Genomic DNA, 19,442 nt, shown 5'->3' with positions numbered 1-19,442 from the left:
ATAGAGAGGTTGAGGAAGGCGGGAAGATGCTGACACAGAACAGACTCCCTGGAGTCTGAGGGTTGGGTCCCTTGTCACAGGGATCCAGGAATGTCAGGGTGGAGAGAAAGGGAGCTTTCGAAGATGGCTTCCTAGGCCTGACCCATGCAATTGGGTCTGGAGAAGGCCATTCAGAGGGACAGGGAAAGCTGGGGGCAGGCAAAGAGTTCAGTTCTGAGCACATGATGTTTGAAATGCTGGGAAAAAATCCAAGTCCAAGTGCACATGCAACATAGACAATAATCCCATAGTTAAAATAAAATAAAAGGTCTGGCTGGAGGGCACATGTAGTGTAAGTGACATCATTTATTAAATATGCTTGAGTGTCTTAAATCATAATAAATAATGATTCTATTACTTTACCTCATTCGCTAAGAGGTAAGAAAAAAATATCAGATATATGGACTTTTATTGTTTCCTGGAAAAATCAATTAGGATAAATTTTTTTCCAAAGCTTAAACTAAAATCAGTCTTTAAGGATGGGAGGACCTCAGGAAGGTCTTGAGAGGACTGCAGAGACCTGCTACCCCCCAACCCCCGTGGACACCTGCAGTCAGCTCTGAGTTCTGAACATGCATAGGCCTCACAACAGGCATCCAGCTACTATTCGCATAGGATTATCTGCATCCTCACAGACATAGCTAATTTTTTTGTATTTAGTTAACTAATAATCTATAAGTGGAAAACATGGAAATGTCCATTTTTATGTGAAATTTCCCATTTGAAAAGTGAGTTGGTAAGTTACTAGTCTATATTGTTCACTTGGCACATAGCTTAGAGATCTGAGTTTATTTAACATGAGTTGATTTCCCTTGGGTGATCTTAAATATTTATTTTCTCTACTTGTCCTTAGTTTTCATCCACCCAGGCAACCAGCCAAACATCCATCCACCCATCCACCCATTCACCCACCCATTCAGCCAGGCAGCCAGCCACTCAGCCACCCACCCATCTACCTATCCAGCCATTCACTTATCCACCCATCCACTATCCACTGATGTGGAGGCCCTGAAGCCAGCAGAGCCAAAGTGATTCCACAAATCATGGCATGGGTTTTCTATAGGAAGTTTGTTTTTTTATTTCTTATATTTCTGTAACAGGTTTTTTTTTTTTCCCTTGATGAACAACTTTTTATTAAAGAAAGGTGGGATGGAGAAGGAACATTGTTAATCACTGGCTCAATGCCAGGCCCTGGCATCAGTCATTCCTTTCCTGGGAGCTGACATGCAATGGGAATGGGTGGTGAGCAAGCAGACAAGGGTGCTGCCCCAGGGATTTCTGCTAGAGGAAGACACTGGGAGAGTGATATGGTTTGGCTGTAACCCAACCCAAGTCTCCCCTTGAATTGTAATAATCCCCACATGTCAAGGGTGGGGCCAAGTGGAGATCATTGAATAATGGAGGTGGTTTCCCTTACTGTTCTTGTGGTAGTGAATAAGTCTCAGAAGATCTGATGGTTTTATAAAGGGCAGTTCCCCTGCACACGCTCTTTTGCCTGCTGCCATGTAAGACATGCCTTTGCTCTTCCTTTGCCTTCCACCATGATTGTGAGGCCTCCCCAGCCATGTGAAACTGTGAGTCCATTCAACTTCTTTTTCTTTAAAAATTACCCAGTCTCAGGTATGTCTTTATTAGCAGCATGATAACAGACTAATACAGAGAGCAACAGACGTGGGATTGGAGGTCGAGTGCTTCCTCATATGTTCTATGAACGAAAATAAAGCAGAGTTACAGGTAGAAAATCGCACGGTGGTGGCTAGACATGATGGTCAGGGCAACCCTCTCTACAGAAGGCACAAGTGGACAGAGTCCTGGGGGGCTCTAGGAGCAAAGCCAGGGAAGGCTCTAGCAGCCAGAAGGCTGGAGTGGTGTTAGAGACATGTTGGCATGTGGCCACCTGAGGATCTTCTAGAAAAGTGGATGGATAATGTCTTTATCGGGAATGCTGAGGTGAACAGAGAATCAGATTATCAGAGGCTGGAAAATAAAGGAGAAACAAAGGCGGTGGATTATGCACACGGACACTGAAGCCAACAAGAATGAGGTCATTGTTGATTTACGCGTAGTTCAGGGAGAACATGCAGGGTTTCAGCATTGTTAAAGAGAATATACATGCTGAAAGAAACTGAAGAAAACATGAGAAGAAATTGCAGATTCTGACATAATAATCTCCATGAAAGAACAACAATTTTTACTTTTGCATCTCTGTTTTACCCATGTGAATCAATGCTCACACTGAGAGGCTCACTGTGGCTGGAGTTAGGCCCCAGCTGGGGTTCCCCAGAGTGGAAGGAGAATACCTCACTCTTTGGGAGCAGAACTCCCAAAAACTGGGCTGTATTTTCCTTGTATTCTCAATAATTTGAATAGTCTATATTTTTTTCATGGATGGAATGTCTCCTAATTGTAAACTTTTATCTTAAAATAGTCAGCCCAAATTTCCTTATTAAAAAATGTAATCAGAATTACTTTCCCCCATGTCATGTTAAGAACAAAAACATATTAACAGAATTACCAAATCCTATTAGGAAAAAAATACATATTCTTTTTCACTTAGTATAAAAGAGTGTATGTAGCTTTATAGATGAGAAATTGTATACTTTATATGCTTTGTTACAAGTATATGTTTTACTTCCAGGGAATTTTCTCCCAATTTTTTACTCAGCTTACTCAGTCCCACTCAGTCTTCAAGATTCAGTTGTAGAGTTTCATTTTCAGCCATGCAATGTATTTTAAGTATGTTTACTTTGAACAAAACAGCCAAGGAAATGCTTCCTTGCTAAGTATGAGGTAATCAGATGTTTTTATACCCAGGCAAGTTAAAATACATAATTACAAATAGCATCTTTCCCTGTCACAGAAATCCCCTCTAATCTTGCCTAAGCCACTTTTGCTCACCCGGCACATTCAGGGCCATTTAGAAACCCAATGAAACAGTCAGTAATTTACTTGTTTCTTAAACAATGTGTAATTTAAAATACTGATCGCATTGATTTTCCACTTTAAACAGAAGAAGAAGAAACTTCACTCCTCATTTCAATATAATTGTGTATTTACAATGAAATCCCCAAACCATGGCATTATAAAAAGGATGACATGTTTAGTGCTACTGAATAGCCAGAAATTTTCTTCATTTGCACCATTTATCTTTCATTTATGTTGTTTATTGAAAACTTCTGCAAAATATCAAGAAATGCAGCAGGAAATTGCTCATATGAAGAACTGCAAGACGCTGGTGCTTTGCATGTACAATAGAGGTGATGGCTACTGCCAACACCTACACCACTTTAGATCTGTTTATTTTCACAGGTGAACATTAACACACATACGGCCACACGACCTGGAAAATTTGCATTTGAAAGAATCCATCAGGACAATAACATTGACAATTTTTTTTTCCTTTGGAATCTGGACATGATCTTAAAGCTTACAATTAATGGAAAGAATGCTAAACAATAAATGCATATGATTTAATCTATTTTATATATCATTGGTTCATGTTCCGATTTTAAGAATTTTAATGTACTCATTAAGATAGAATGTAAGGTCTTCATTGAATCATTGAAGGACACATGAGCTCTTGGTGTTGTAGTGACAACAGGCAAAGCATTCTGGTTAAGAGAGCAGATTAACTGTTCATGTTCAATGACATTTTGGCACCTCACTTTTAGAGAAAACATTAAGCTTATTTTTTACTTTTAACAAGATGGTGTTGTTCCACTTTTATCATTTTTTTTACCTGAAATAATAGCAAAATTAAAATTACCTTTAGCCTCATGTTTAACATACCCACAATTTTAAAACATTTGCTGACCCAAATGTAAGAGCCCCATGTGTGCCTTTCTGATTCTCTTCTTAAGCTATTTTTCACATTCTCTTCCAACAATGCTGTTGTCTCCAGGCCGACCTTTGAGGTCACACTCTCTGGTTGCGTCCAGTCTGTCACTCACAGAAAATAAAGTGAGGTGCAAGCCCTGCTGTTTTCAGCCCATAGCCATTCCCACCCCTCTCAAGTCTCTCTGAAATCTGAAACCCCTTTCACTACACTATGTTAACGTTTGCAGACTCTCATTTTCTTCCTAAAAAGTATATTGAGTACAGTTGTTTCTTCTATGAAAAATCATGATTGTAGCAGCTTCATCATCATCATCATCATCACATCTAGTATTTATTGGGGGGTTAGTAAGTGCCATGCAAGGCACTATGTATTTCCCATGCAGTTTCTCTGTTATTCCTCACAATGACCCTGGAAGATTCTATTCTCTAGTTTATAAAGGAGGAAACAAGGCTCAGAGAGGGTGAGTAACTTGTCTAAGTTCACAAAGCTGGTAAATTCAGAGCCAGCCTTTTTGAACCAGACTCACTCTACCACACGGCCTACCTTCCTACTTGGAGGTACTAAATCTCCCATGGTTGCCTGCAATTTATGTGGGTGAGATGTCGCAGCATAGATCTGTACTTACAAAAATAGTCACCTTTTTCATTACACAGTTGTTTGCTTATTAGGCTCTCCATAGGAGAACTGAGCTCCAAAATACATTCTGAGTGTCAGTTCTCAGAGAGATGTGGAAAGCCGAGCTGAGACTTCCCCTTAGAACCATGTTATGGTGAGTGGGACAGTCCTTCACAGTCACTTGAAGCAAAAGCTTTATTTTATATAGGGGGAAATTGCATGCCTGAAAAGACAAGTGGCCTTTGCACTCTCTGTCAAGGAGCTAGAAGAGGAGACTAGTGGACTTCAAGCCACCTGTGAGCCCTGGAACGTGTGTAAATGTTTCATCAGATCCTCAAAGGTTCTGTAGCCAATAAAGGTCTTCAGCCTTTCCCTGAGACTTGATGGCCTTAAGAAGAGTTTAAACAGCAGGATGGGCTGGCCAGAGCTAGCCACTTTGCTGAAGGTCCTTCCAACCAGGGGTACGAGCATATCGGTTGAGGAAGCAGGTCTCATCTGCCAACCTTCCACCCAACACATCCACTCCAGAGGCAGGAGATGGTTGCCTGTCACCCCGGGCCCAAGCCTGGGAGGCTCAGACAATCTTTCCTTTGTTGTAAGTTCCAGAACCTTCTCAGAAGCTTAGGTCTGCCGCAATTGACCTGAAAGTAATTATCTCGATAGACTGCAGCACAGATGCCTGGATTAAAGTCACATTCATTGCAGGAAAATGCAGCATTTACCCTTAGAACTGGTGGGAATGAACCAACCCCAGCATCATGGTCAGCTCTTGAAGGGGCTTGAGGCTTCAGCTGCAGAGCCAGCTCTGAGTCCCACTGCCACATGGACACTTACCTTCTCTGTGACTGCACCTAGCACAGTTGGCCTGGATGACCCACAAGGTGACTACCCCATTCTAAAATACTATGATCTGCACAATTTTACCCAAAGCTCAAAGAATGCTTTCCCTCATCAAAACTGCCAGAAGAGGACATTTACGTGGATCTCATAGCCCATCCGCTAGGCAGTCATAAATCTTAGCCAGAGAAACAAGCAAGCCCAGGTGGCATTGCCGCCTTTCCTAACAGGCCTCGGGACTTTCAGATTTGTTCCCTGGAAATCCAGAAAAAGGGAGGTGCTTATTGATTAGAGGCAGTTTTTGCCTTGAGAAAGCATTTTGCTTGCTTATTTTGCTTTGTTTTTGTTTTGAGGCAAAAGGGCATAAGGAAGCCTCTGTTGTGGTTCCTGGTCGTCCCTCCACTACCACCACCTCTGTCCCCTGAACTAGAAGTGTCTGCACAGGCCCTGATGAGAACTGCAGCCGTGGCCCCTTGTGCCATGCTTTCCTCATGCTCACGGTTGCTTGGCAAACACATCTTCCCAATTCTCTCTTCCAAATGCCTGATGTCTCCTATTTTTATTTCTTTAAACCCATGGCGGCTGCCTGAAGTACTGGTATTGGCTGCTCCATGACTGAAGCTCCTGAGTGAGGCTTCTCCAGCGCACTTTGTTGGGCTCCCCATGCCTGGTAAGGGTCCCAGTACTGGGGCATGTGCCAGGACTAGGACATGCACGGTTGCAGGAACCCACGCTGAGCGTCCCGTCCCCATTGGTGCCCATTGATGCTCCAGGCTCCACACCTGGAGGCTGAACGGACCTGTCCATCTTCCCAAACATCCTCTCCTGTGTCCTGCCCCCAACCCCCAACTGCACTTCCCAGTCCCGTCACCGTCCCAGAAAATGCCCGTTTGTCTTGTGCCGGACCCGATGTTTGCTTTTCCTCCTCTGGTGGGCGCCCCCATCGTCTTGTAGGATGCTTTTCTTCTTCCACAGACATTGGCAGAGCTTCATCTACATTTGAAACAAAAAGACCCTCCCTTCCTCCGCATTGCAGAGGGATTACCAGCCATGACCAGGTCTGTGAGAGGAGTTCTTAAAAAAGGAATATATATACATATATATTTTTATATTTTTATACATATTTTATTTATATTATATATTTACATATTTTTATAATATAAAGAATATAATATAAATAATATAAATATAATAAAATAATATATAATGTTATATATTATATTATATAACATATTATATAAATATGTATTATATAAATAATATAATATATAATATAATATTAAATATATAATATAAAATATATAAATTATATATTTATATTATTTATATTTTAAAATATATTTTATATATTTTTATATATACATATACATGTATATTTTTTGAGACAGGGTCTGGCTCAGTTTCCCAGGCTGAAGTGCAGTGGTGCAATCTCAGCTCACTGCAACCTCTGCCTCCCGGACTCAAGCGATTCCCATGTCTCAGCCTCCAGAGTAGCTGGGACTAAGGGCATGCACCACCTCGCCCCGTTAATTTTTGTATTTTTAGTAGAGACAGGGTCTCACTGTCTTCCCCACGCTGGACTCGAACCCAGAGCTCAAGCTATCCTCCTGTCTTGGCCTCTCAAAATGCTGGGATTATAGGCCACTGGGCCCAGCCTGTGTAAGGAGCTCTTAGCAGAGAGCACAGCATGATATAAAGTGTCAGTTAAAGCTCTTTATCATTCTTCTCAATTTTAATAATGCTATAATCATTGCTTTCTTTTTATTTCACATTGCTTTCCATGGCTTTATTTGTTGTTTTTGGTTTGTTACTGAATAACAACAACAAAAAAGCTTCTCTCTATTACTATAAGAAATAGGAAAGAAAAGAAGCCTAGTTCCACACACACTCTCTGGTTAAGAAAAAGTGAACAGCATGTGAGTAAATTTAATAAAATCCACTCAAGACCTAATCATCCTGGAGATGTGCTAATTTCAATTTCATATTGTCAGGCCTCTGAGCCCAAGCCAAGCCATCGCATCCCCTGTGACTTGCACGTATATGCCCAGATGGCCTGAAGTAACTGAAGAATCACAAAAGAAGTGAAAATGCCCTGCCCCGCCTTAACTGATGACATTCCACCACAAAAGAAGTGTAAATGGCTGGTCCTTGCCTTAACTGATGACATTACCTTGTGAAAGTCCTTTTCCTGGCTCATCCTGGCTCAAAAAGCTCCCCCACTGAGCACCTTGCGACCCCCATTCCTGCCCGCCAGAGAACAAATCCCCTTTGACTGTAATTTTCCTTTACCTACCCAAATCCTATAAAATGGCCCCACCCCTATCTCTTTTCACTGACTCTCTTTTTGGACTCAGCCCGCCTGCACCCAGGTGATTAAAAGCTTTTATTGCTCACACAAAGCCCGTTTGGTGGTCTCTTCACACGGACGCGCATGAAACGTATATTTTATGTTATTTAGGAGGAAGGAGTAAAACCTAGCATTATTAACTCTAGTTGAGAAAGAAAAGAGTTGAATAGATACAATTCCGTTGCTTATGATTCAATTGTATTTTTACGCTAAAGTCAACTAGATGGGAAAATGACTATATCTTTAGCCTCGGGAATAATGTGCCTACAGTCACATCAGCCTTGGAGGAGCTAATTGAGACTGGGATTTTTAAAGTAACGTTAAAAACCCAAGTGGTCAAAGTTGAATTTAGCATCACTGTAGAAAGCTTGAAAAAAAAAAAGTGAGGCCACAAATTCTCAATATTTTATTTCATTCCTGTATTCTGCACATCTGTACAAAAAATCATTGAGGAATTTTTACATTGCAGATCAAAAACGCATGTTTCTTAAAATCATATATTCAAGAGCATGCAAATGAGACAGGAGAGGGTGACCCTCAGCCCTGCTTCCTTTCTCCTCCAGTTGACCTTGAAGTCACTAATCCAAAGGGACCCAGAGCCTGTACAAAGAGTTTCTTCCAGTCGCCGGGTAAATTAGATCACCGCTATTGCTGTCAGCCGCAGAGAGCGCTCACTGTATTCCACGGCTGCATATGCTGGCACTGACGTGAAGTCATCGTGATGGTCTTGCAATCTAGATAAATACAGTTGGAAGTGGCGATTCCATTTTAAAGGAGAAATATTCAAAACAGCATTTCACAGCAGGTGAAGGGCAGAGAATAGTTTCTGTAGGGGGTGGGCAAGGGGAGTCCAGGGAGATGGGCGGGACTTGCAGAGTTGATTGTGATTTATAATCAATATTAACCATATCATACACAGGGAGGCACTGCCGGCAGAAAGAAAGAGTTAGAGCTGGGCTTTTTTATCCAAGGAAGGTCATAATAAGATGGGTGAAATGATGAAAAAATTTATGGAAGGTAGTTGGCTCAACAATGGAGAAAAATACCTCTATTCTGATGATGAATTCTCTCCAGCGATCTTGCAAAAGTACTGGCCGCTGTTGTAAATTTGCTTGAGAACGAGGAGGGAAAGTTTAAATGAGATTTCTAGTGATTTCTGGCCTCACTGAGGGCTGGAAAATGACAATTATTCAATTTAAGAGATTTTCTGCCTGAAAAAGCATGGGAGGAGCACCCGGTTTGACGGCCTGGCGGACTAATGCAACCTTGTCCCAGAAAGCGCTCCACCTAAACGCCGCTAATCATGCTCACACCTGGGTTCCCACGTCAAGTAATGAAGGGCTCCGAGGATTGATCCCTGATTTCCATTGAGGGGAAGAGAGGAAAAAATGGCATTAACACTCCCAGGGGAGGTTTCTAGTAGACGGTTGCAAGTGATTTCACCAAGTAAAATTCCCAGAGAAACTCTAAAAGTGTCTCAGTGTTTCCTGGAGTTTGCTTTTCCTTTTGATTGCATTTTGAAGCTCTGTAGCATAGCGAAGATGCAGAGCTCCCAGCCCCTGATACACACGGAGGTGTTGTTAATACCAGAGCTGGGCGGCTGGGCACAAGGAGTGAGCAGCAGTGACCTACTGACCATGGATAGCGCTGCAAGCTAGGGACAAGGCCAGGCATGGCTCGATGGCTGAGATAACAACATACCCTTAGGTCCTCATTCCAAATACATGTACATGGATAAAACACATTTCTCCAATAGTTTGTGGACGTAGTCACTGGAATGACTATTTTCTTGTCTCTAAAATCCTGTGCCTCTAATGCAGACTATTTTTCTCGAAACCAATGTGAAGAAGAAAATTATCTCTTAAAAGGCCAATTGTTAAACAGGAATTAGTAGCCCTTTCCTTGGGTATGACTTTTACAAACATCAAGTTCATGAAGCCACTGCATAGAGAGGTAGAGATGTGGATGTGAGTGAGGATGTGGATGTGATTGTCAGTGTGGATGTGGTTGGGGATGTGAGTGTGAATGTGGATGTGAATGTGAATGTGGATGTGAGTGTGGATGTGGATTTGAGGGTGGATGTGGATGTGGGTGTAGATATGGATGACAGTGTGGATGTGGATGTGAGTGTGGATGTGACTGTGGACGTGGATGTGAGTGTGAGTGTGGATGTGGATGTGAATGTGGGAGTAGATGTGAGTGTGGATGTGGATGTGAGTGTGGATGTGAGTGTAGATGTGGATGTGAGCGTGAGTGTGGATGTGGATGTGGATGTGGATGTGAATGTGGGAGTGGATGTGAGTGTGGATGTGGATGTGAGTGTGGATGTGGATGTGAGTGTGGGTGTGGATGTGAGCCCGGATGTGAGTGTGAGTGTGGATGTGAGTGTGGATGTGAATGGGATTGTGGATTTGGATGTGAGTGTGGATGTGGATGTGACTGTGGGTGTGAAGTGTGGATGTAGATGTGAGTGTGGGTGTGGCTATGGATGTGAGTGTGAATGTGAGTGTGGAATACGGATGTGAGTGTGGATATGCATATGGATGTGAATGTGGATGTGAGTTGGATGTGGATGTAAGTGTGGACGTGGATGTGGATGTGAGTGTGGGTGTGGATGTGAGCCTGGATGTGAGTGTGAGTGTGAGTGTGTGGATATGAGTGTGGATGTGAATGGGAGTGTGGATTTGGATGTGAGTGTGGATGTGGATGTGAGTGTGGAAGTAAGTGTGGATGTGGATGTGAGTGTGGGTGTGGATGTGAGCCCGGATGTGAGTGTGAGTGTGAGTGTGGATGTGAGTGAGTGTGGATGTGAATGGGATTGTGGATTTGGATGTGAGTGTGGATGTGGATGTGACTGTGGGTGTGAAGTGTGTAGATGTGAGTGTGGGTGTGGCTATGGATGTGAGTGTGAATATGAGTGTGGAATACGGATGTGAGTGTGGATATGCATATGGATGTGAATGTGGATGTGAGTTGGATGTGGATGTAAGTGTGGACGTGGATGTGGATGTGAGTGTGGGTGTGGATGTGAGCCTGGATGTGAGTGTGAGTGTGTGTGGATATGAGTGTGGATGTGAATGGGAGTGTGGATTTGGATGTGAGTGTGGATGTGGATGTGGATGTGAGTGTGGAAGTAAGTGTGGATGTGGATGTGAGTGTGGGTGTGAATGTGAGTCTGGATGTGAGTGTGGATGTGAGTGTGAGTGGGGATGTGAGTGTGGATGTGGGTGTGGATGTGGATGTGAGTGTGGATGTGGGTGTGGATGTGAGTGTGGATGTGAGTGTGGGTGTGGATGTAGATGTGGATGTGAGTGTGGATGTGAGTGTGGGTGTGGATGTGAGTGTGGGTGTGGATGTGAGTCTGGATGTCAGTGTGGATGTGAGTGTGTGGGTGTGGATGTGGGTATGGATGTGGATGTGGGTGTGGATGTGGATATGGATGTGGATGTGGGTGTGGATGTGGATGTTGATGTGGATGTGAGTGTGGGTGTGAGTGTGAATGTGAATGTGGAAGTGTATGTGGATGTGGATGTGAGTGTGGACGTGGGTGGAGGTATAGATCATGTAGATATTTACACTGGTACAGATATTGATAAATATACCGATGCAGATACAGGCAAGTATAGTATATTGGCATAGATATTGGTGCTGATGTACTGATAAGGATACGTGTAGACAGAGATACATTTATGTATAGATATAGATATACAGGTATTGATTTGACGTAGATAATTATATTATAAAGATATTGATATAGATAGGTATAGATATTGATACATACAGAACTATAGATATAGATACAGACATGGGTATTGGCATAAACATACTGATATATGTATACTGATATAAATTGAGTTAGTAATTCAATTCAACAAAACTTTCATTGAACTTCTATATTTAGTGCACAATACTAAAGACCATAGTTGACGGAAAATCCCAGTTTAACCCTCCGGCTCATGCTGTTTACACTCATGAAGTAAACTTGGCAGGAGCAGGGAGAAACCATTTTAGTTATTAAAATAATACATATGATTACTGGATAATCATGCAACTTGATGACAAAATCTATGTTCTAGAAAAGCACATTTCTAAGCAATCTCAGCATAGTCTTGGCTATCTGTCCTGCCACAGGGGAGCTTCAGTCAGAATGTCGAAGTATTTCTCATTGGGACATTAGCATACCCCTTTCACGTCAATATCAGGGCATGGCAGTTCCAGTGAACTGACAGGTGGGGTCATTCCATCTCAGTTCCTTGACATGGAAACAAAAGGGACAGGTTAGGATGGAGGACACCATTGGACAGGAGCCCCTCCGTCTCTTCCCCAGACACTGTGGTCCCTTTCTTTGGGCCAGAAGCTCAATCACAGGTCTCCTTCCCCAGCCACTGTCCTCCCGAACCAGACATTCCAATGCCAAGACAGACATCACTCACCTGTTCCCAGATGGGATTGTTTTGTAGTTTGTATTGAAGCATAGTGTTTGCACAGATTCGCGGGGGGGAGGGACAGGCTGTTTTGATGCATGTGTGGAATGTGTAGTGATGATGACAGAGTATTTAGAGTCTCCATCACCTCCAGCATTTATCATTTATTTGTGTTAGGAACATTTCAAATATTTTCTTCTAGCTATTCTGGAATATACAATACATTGTCGTTAACTGTAGAGTCACCTCCTGTACTGCGGAACAGACCTCATTCCTTCTCTCTGACTGCAGGTTTGCTCTCATTCACCAACCCTCCCCACACACCTGCTTCTCAGCAGACCCACTGGGGCCTGTCATTCTACTCTCTGCGTCCATGAGATTACAATTTTGGGCTTGCACACGTAAGTGAGAACACATGATATTTGTCTTTCTGTGCCTTATGCTTTTGATTTTTGAACATACTAGTGTTCCACTTAAGAGAAAGGGATGGATATCCGTCCTGTCACAGGGGAGGATGCTGTGGACATCACAGCTCCAGGTTCTGATCCCAGGCAAGATTGAAAGTGATATTTTCACTGACAGTTAAGCCAGAGGGAAAAACCCCACTGGAATAAGGGCCAAGGTATTCCTTTCCATTGGTCTTTATAGAAGTGGATCAAAAGCATGGCGTGGCTAAAACATGAGTGGATTAGAAGTGTTTGGTGTATGCTAATAGTGCTTCTTTATCCAATAAGGAGAACTCTATTCACAAAAGAAATTGTCTGTCTGTGAGGAAAAGTTGTATGAAATAGGAAATGCGAGCTGTGGTAAAGAACTAGATATTTATCTTCTTGGTCATATTTGGTATTTTATGCATATTTGGGCATGCTTGTGAAAACACACACACGTGTGTGTGTGCACGGCAGTGACAGCCCATAGGTACAGTCTCCAGCCATCCCATGCAATGTTTTCGAAGTGTTTTTCCATGTAACCACTCAACCACCCTGTCAAGTCAGGATTATTATTAAATGGTAGACACGGAACCTGAAGCTCAGAAATATTAATAGCCAGCAACTTGCAGGGGTCGCCGAGGGTGTGAGTATCCGAATCAGGACTTTAAATCCGATTTTGACAAGTTCTAACCCACAGGTTCTTAAGCACTGCTGTGTGGGCTCTTCAGTTCAATGAGGTTGAGAGTTTCATGAAAATAAATTATTCTCTTTTTATCTCCCCTAATGCCATATCTACCCATTACTCTAGTTGCTAAGTGAGACTGCAAGCAGCACCCTGCTAGCAGAATGCCACAGGCTTGCACACAGCCACCTCCACCTGCTGCAACCTTCCAGTAAACTTTCCCTTTCATGGAGGTGAGGAAAATGGGGATAGTCTCAGAAATGATAGCTAAACCAAGGGTGCACAAACACATTATTTAGAAAAGAGCTTTACCAATAAGCCTGCACATAGTCTAGTCCCCAAAAGATGACAAATAAGAGGCGTACCTAAGTATTTCTCATGCTTTAGTGCAATACCCTCCATAAATTTTATGCATTTTAGAAGCCCAGAAAGTTACCTTTGAAAGTTCACTTAAAGCTATCTTTGGAGCTCTTCATCAAAAGAAATGGAGACTGGAGCTTAGCTACGACTTTAACTTCCATCTGTTCCATGATGCTGTAGCAATCTCAGCCCGCAATTGGCATGGAGCATGGCAAACATTACTCTACAATGCCCTTTATGAAACATCAATGTGCTCGCAATCCAATAATGAAGTGCCACAGAGCATCTGTTTGTATTCCCAGGCAGTGCAAGGACCGGATTTCTGAGGAAGGACTCACCAGCATCTGGTTGAAATGAACTGTGTAATTTTAGTATCTTTCAGATTTTTATTTTGCCAAAAGAAACACCCATTTCATGTAATGATTACTTATTTTTTTAACCCTGAGACTTAATAAAAATGGTAATTCCAAGTTGCAAATGTGTATACAGGCCTCATGCATATTTTAGGAGCTAGCCATAGGAACCCCAGAACTAACAAAGCTCACAGAGCACCCTTATTTTCGTCTAACGCAAACAGCAGGTGAACTGAGCTTCCCATGGCCATTTGAGGGAAGACTGTCACAACTCTATGGACGTTATGTTTTTTGTTTTTGTTTTTGTTTTTGAGACAGAATCTCACTCTGTCGCCCAGACTGGAGTGCAGTAGCGAGATCTCGGCTCACGGCAACTTCCGCCTCTCGATTCAAGCGATTCTCCTGCCTCAGGCTCCTGAGTATCTGGGACTACAGGCAAAGTCACCACGCAGGGCTAATTTTTTGTATTTTACTCGAGACGGGATTTCACCATGATGCCCAGGCTGGTCTTGAACTCCCGAGCTCAGACAATCCGCCCACCTCGGCCTCCCAAAATGCTAGGATTACAGGTGTGAGCCATCATGCCTGGCCTTTTTTTTTTTTTTCAAATCTCAGAAATATAAAATCATTCAAGAGGTTTGCTATACATCTCCAAACTTCTCAGCCCACCTAAAGGATGGGTTTCTAGAGAAGAGGAGAATCCCAACTTTGGTGGAAAGTCACAGCCAAGTGCAGATAGGGTCCATTCACTGGGAGTCTTCCCTTTCTGCGGTAGGAAAAAGAGAGACATCTGCATTGCCTGGGCTGCCGCTCCTTTCCTCCTGGCCTGGGCTCTGCCTGCAGCTGAAAGCCATGGCAATCACGCCACGGAGCACGACATCATCGCCCTGCCAGGGTGGGTTGGCCTATGTGTGCATCATGCATCTCACTCTAGGCGCGACTATTTCACCAAAGCGTAGACAAGGCTGGGCCAGGTGGCCAGACTTTCCCTAGAGGTCCAGGCAAAGCCCTACAGAGCGCAGTGGGGAGTGGCCCGCAGCTCCCTCCACAACTGCTCTCCAGAAACAGCCACAGCCCTGACCGTCCAGAAAAGCAACACAAACAGAAAGCAATGCCAGACAGGCCCGGGGCAGGTGGCACATCCAACAGAGGCTGGGGAACGGCCTCCAGATGACCTTGTGACTGTCAGTGAGTCGCACTCCCCTTGCCAAGTGGACATTTTCACACCAGGGTTTGCTGTCTCTTCGTAGCTGTTCTTTCCATCCAGGAGCCCAGCACATTGCCCATCGTTAAGCCCCATTTTTCCTATGACCAGTCTCAGATCCCACAGCAGCAGCTGCCCATCCTGGGCCCTCCCATCTGGGCTACCTAGAACTATTGTCAGGAGCCCACAGACCCCCTGGCCATATGTGATGTGGCAGATCAGGGCAAGAGAGAGTGCAAAAGCAAATAGGTACATTTTTGTAATTCTCAAAGGTGACAGTTCCTGAGATTCCATATTCATTAAAACTTCCTAGACTCTTAGACAGGTGACAGCATCTCCAAAGGAAGTAATGATGGATCTTGGCTTCAAATATACGTTTAATTGGAGTCTACGGCTTGTGATAAATATGTCTTTACTGGCCTTTCAACTAAGGACAATCGTGGTGATATTCCAGTGAATTGATGTGAGTTCCAAGGGTGTACTTGGGACCTCGTGCAGGCGCCCATGCCTGTAACCCCAGAACTTTGGGAGACTCAGGTGGAAGGATTGCTTGAGCCCAGGAATTTGAGACCGGCCTGGGCAACATAGCAAAACTTCATCCCTAAAACATTTTTTAGAAAATTAGCCATGCATGGTGGCATGCACCTGTAGTCCCAGCTACTCAGAAAGCTGAGGTGGGAGGATTGTTTGAGCACAGGAGTTTGAGACGGCAGTGAGCTATTATCTCATCACTGCACTCCAGCCTAAGTGACAGAGTGAGACCCTGTCTCTAAAAAAAAAAAGAAACAAAAATACAAAAGTATAATTGCATCTTATTTGCTGGGTGGTTTAAGTATCATGTGAGGAGCTTTCTTATTTGTTTCTACAATAACATTACAAAATAAATAACATGATCCCACATTTGACCAATAATAAAAGTGAAACTCAGCCCCCAGATAAACAATGGCAGAGAAAAGATTCAAGCTGTGGCCTATCCAATTCTAATTACATAATCTTATTTTTATACATCAAACAAAATAATTCTTTTAGTTAGACATTAATTGGTTTGGATTAGCCCCAGCCTACATGGGCACCAAGTATGGATACCAAACCTTGGTTTCCATTCTCCTTTTCTTATTGTGTTTGTGATGACTTTAAAACAAAGAGCTCTGCGCTTTTTCTAAAATGCCTAAATTTGTATTAGTAAACACCAACAGATCACATTTTCAACATTCTCAACTTTTTGTTCTTAGAACATATTCGCCTATTGAAAAAATGGTTCATCTCAGGAGTCAAGACTTCTCTACAAACTTGCCTTAAAGTCCCTGCCATAACTTTGGCCGAAACTCAAATTGGTACACTGCATTTAAAGCTTCAGTAATTGATGACAGTACTGAGTAGCGGACACCTAGGAAAAGGGGCTACCACGGCAAGACTAAGAGACAGCAGAGGGGGCTGCTGTGGCTCCCCACTCCGGGCCAGCCCTCCTCCTGAAAAGGCGCGGTGGAACTCCACTACAGAAATGGTGGCTCCCACGCATCTAACGAACCATGGCTGGTGTCTTCATAAGCAGACAAGAGAGACGTAGTAAAAGCTTATATTTAAAATGTGTGTCCAGTACCTTCTCTGTGAACCACCAGGAGCAAAGAGGGGTAAATGTGATGGCTTTTGGTAGCCAGCTTTGGGTGAGTTTGCAACAGGAATCTGTTCTTTGAAAGCCCAGAGTGTTAGCTTTGAAAAGAAGTGCTCAGAGAGCCAGGAGCTAATGAGTTTCATCAGGGTGAATCTAGCAGCTCAAGTTTACCTGACCTGTTTCCAATGGCATCTGTCCCCATCCTAGGCAAGCAGGCTCTATCTGGCATCCATCGCAGCAGGGACACACAGCTGAAGAATGAAATGGAAACAACACTTCTAGGCTGTGCACACTCCAACCTGCCAGATACCACAGCTATTTTAAAACCATTTGCCAGGCCTCTTATGAAAACTTCCATGCAGGGGGAATGGGGGTGCCAATATAGTTGTAAGCCAAAGGCCCATTTTTCTTCATTTGATAGCTCTGAGCCTTCCTGCGGCCCCACAAGCAGGCAGCGAACAGGCAGAAAAGGGCAGGATGATTTGACTTTTTGTTGTTTAAATCGACTCCCTGGCAGGGAAATAGCTCCCCAAAGCCATTCCTGGTATGTGTGTAAATTCTCTCCAAATGGAGGGAAATTTCTCAATTAGGAAACTTTACCACGAAGTCTTCAGAAGTAACGGGATAGCAGGCAGCTACTGCCTTCCCCAGAAAGGTCACTGCTGGCCCCGAGGAGCTGACCCGAACCTCATCGTTTGACGAGAGAATGATCTAGACCTAAGCATAAAACCACGGATTCTCGTGGAAACAAGGTCACTTGGCCATGGCTGTGCCACCAGGAAGTCATTCTAACAATAGCACCTGAGCTCCCTGACATTCCAATAGTGAACCCAGCCACTTTCTTTCATTTAAAGAGCATGAGAAGAAACAGCCTGGACCATAACAACGCAGTAGAGGGTAAACTTTTGCCTTTTACTTACAGTTTTGTCTCAGATGAGAGCAAGTTGATGTAAACTGAAGATGCCACACTTTTCCCCAGGAAACACAGCTTTGCTATCAGTCACCCACCCGGCAAATGCTTTATTGCGAAACTCCCTTATCAAGATGGCATGCAGTAGACAGAGCTATTTTGAAAGTCAATGTCTCGCTCTTTTTGAAAGCTTCACTCTGTGTTTTTAGATGCAAGCTTCAAACTGTCATAGTTTTGTTGCTGTTGATAAAGCCGGCCTGGGATGAATGCCCAGAGGGTGGGCTGACCTGAAATTATGAGACAAAACTTGAATTAATTCTCTTGGTAGCTCAGGAAAAAAGGCAGAGAAGACACACTCTCTGAGCTGCACAAATAGATAATCCATAATTGTTGTTGCTCAATGAATGTCTTGCTTTCCTAGCTTTAATGGCATTTCTTACACACTTAGTATTTGCCAAGATAATATTTCTGCCGACATTTGAATCTAGTGGCCTCCAGGAGACTTCGCCAGCAGCATACCTCATGCTCTAAGTGCTAGCTGGCCATTTGTGTGAATATAGATATCGGAAATGAAAACAATTGGCTCTTCTTTAACAATGTTAGATATTTACACCCTAAACCTGTCCATTTTGAAAGGCAATTTTCAATAGAAATGTCCCTATTACACGTTAGCTACTTCAGAGCCCACAAAACATTCTCAAAACTTCTCAATAAATATTGTGGTCACATAAATGATCTCAGACACTCTAGACACTCTGTAAAATTAAACAGGTGCAGAGTGTTTTAGGGGGATGACTAAAGGGTTCTGGAATTAGGCAGTTGTGTTGCTTGTACAAGTTTGCGAATGTGCTAAAATCCACTGGATTGCACACCTAAGCACGGTGAGTTTTACGGTATCTGAATTATATCCCAATGAAAATAAAATTAACCCTTGAGACCAGCATGCCCACCATTTAAATCTACTAGCTATTTCATGTGGGACTTTAAGCCACACTTCCTTATACAGGGTTTTGTTTCTTAAATATTCCACTGGTTTAATCTAAAATTTCTGCTCATTTGAGCAATGAACTTGGGTTTTCCAGCTGTGAAGCATCACTTGTCAAGACATTTTTTAGACTGGTAGCCTTTTATTTGAAGAATCAGAATAAAATCTACAGTGTGCATGCTACACAGCGAGTGTAGGTATCCCTCACAGAGTGAGTGTTTCTCCAGCTCTCTGTTTGTTGATGAGAACCAGGCCACGGTGCAGAATCCATAGTTTGCTGTGGTTCACGATTCAAACTCTGAAAGCTACTGCGTAAGTCTCCCATACAGGGATCTGCATCCAGGCATCATGTTTTGCTGGTGTTGCTTCTAGACATTTCCAGAGATACAAGGGTCCCACTGTCAAGCCACTAATGTCTGAAGTGCTTGGAGAGTCCTACAGGTAGGAGGCTTAAACATTAAAGAATATCTAAAAGTAGAACTACCATTTGATCCAGCAATCCCACTACTGGTTATCTACCCAGCAGAAAAGAAGTCATTATTTGAAAAAGATACTTGCACATCCATGTTTATGGCAGCACAATTTAAAATTGCAAAATTGTGAAACCAAACCAAATGCCCCTCAATCAATGAGTGGATAAAGAAATGGTGGCATATATATACACACACACACACACACACACACACACACACACGTGTATATATATATACACACACATATATATATACACACACATACATATATATATATACACATATATATATGATGGAATCCTGCGTAGCCATAAAAGGAATGAATTAACAGC

At 43.0% G+C, this 19,442-nt stretch overlaps 1 long non-coding RNA gene across 5 annotated transcripts, besides 2 other annotated features; it reads right to left on the bottom strand.

Moving 5' to 3' along the window:
* Positions 6,837 to 7,473: an enhancer, noted in NCBI's record as "OCT4-NANOG-H3K27ac hESC enhancer chr5:3788779-3789415 (GRCh37/hg19 assembly coordinates)". NCBI's record gives its function as "activates a minimal SCP1, AML or CMV promoter by ChIP-STARR-seq in naive and primed H9 embryonic stem cells {active_cell/tissue: H9 hESC(naive and primed)}" and the evidence as "EXISTENCE:reporter gene assay evidence [ECO:0000049][PMID:30033119]".
* Positions 7,474 to 8,111: an enhancer, noted in NCBI's record as "OCT4-NANOG-H3K27ac hESC enhancer chr5:3788141-3788778 (GRCh37/hg19 assembly coordinates)". NCBI's record gives its function as "activates a minimal SCP1, AML or CMV promoter by ChIP-STARR-seq in naive and primed H9 embryonic stem cells {active_cell/tissue: H9 hESC(naive and primed)}" and the evidence as "EXISTENCE:reporter gene assay evidence [ECO:0000049][PMID:30033119]".
* On the bottom strand, positions 8,074 to 17,738 carry LOC105374625 (uncharacterized). 5 transcript variants are annotated; one of them, XR_925712.2, is made up of 5 exons: positions 17,663 to 17,738; positions 16,919 to 16,993; positions 13,650 to 13,917; positions 8,723 to 8,787; positions 8,074 to 8,410 (listed from the first exon to the last, which is right to left on the bottom strand). It is a non-coding gene; the product is annotated as an uncharacterized LOC105374625 (long non-coding RNA). The 5 variants fall into 5 exon arrangements; XR_925709.2 differs by lacking the exon at positions 13,650 to 13,917 and having other exon boundaries at positions 16,914 to 16,993; XR_925711.2 differs by lacking the exon at positions 13,650 to 13,917.
* Between the last annotated feature and the right edge of the window lie 1,704 nt (positions 17,739 to 19,442).

The sequence above is a fragment of the Homo sapiens genome, chromosome 5, assembly GCF_000001405.40.
Source record: "Homo sapiens chromosome 5, GRCh38.p14 Primary Assembly".
Classification (NCBI taxonomy): Eukaryota; Metazoa; Chordata; class Mammalia; order Primates; family Hominidae; genus Homo; species Homo sapiens.
Note: the sequence above shows the minus strand (reverse complement) of the source record. Positions and strands in the feature narration are given on the sequence as shown.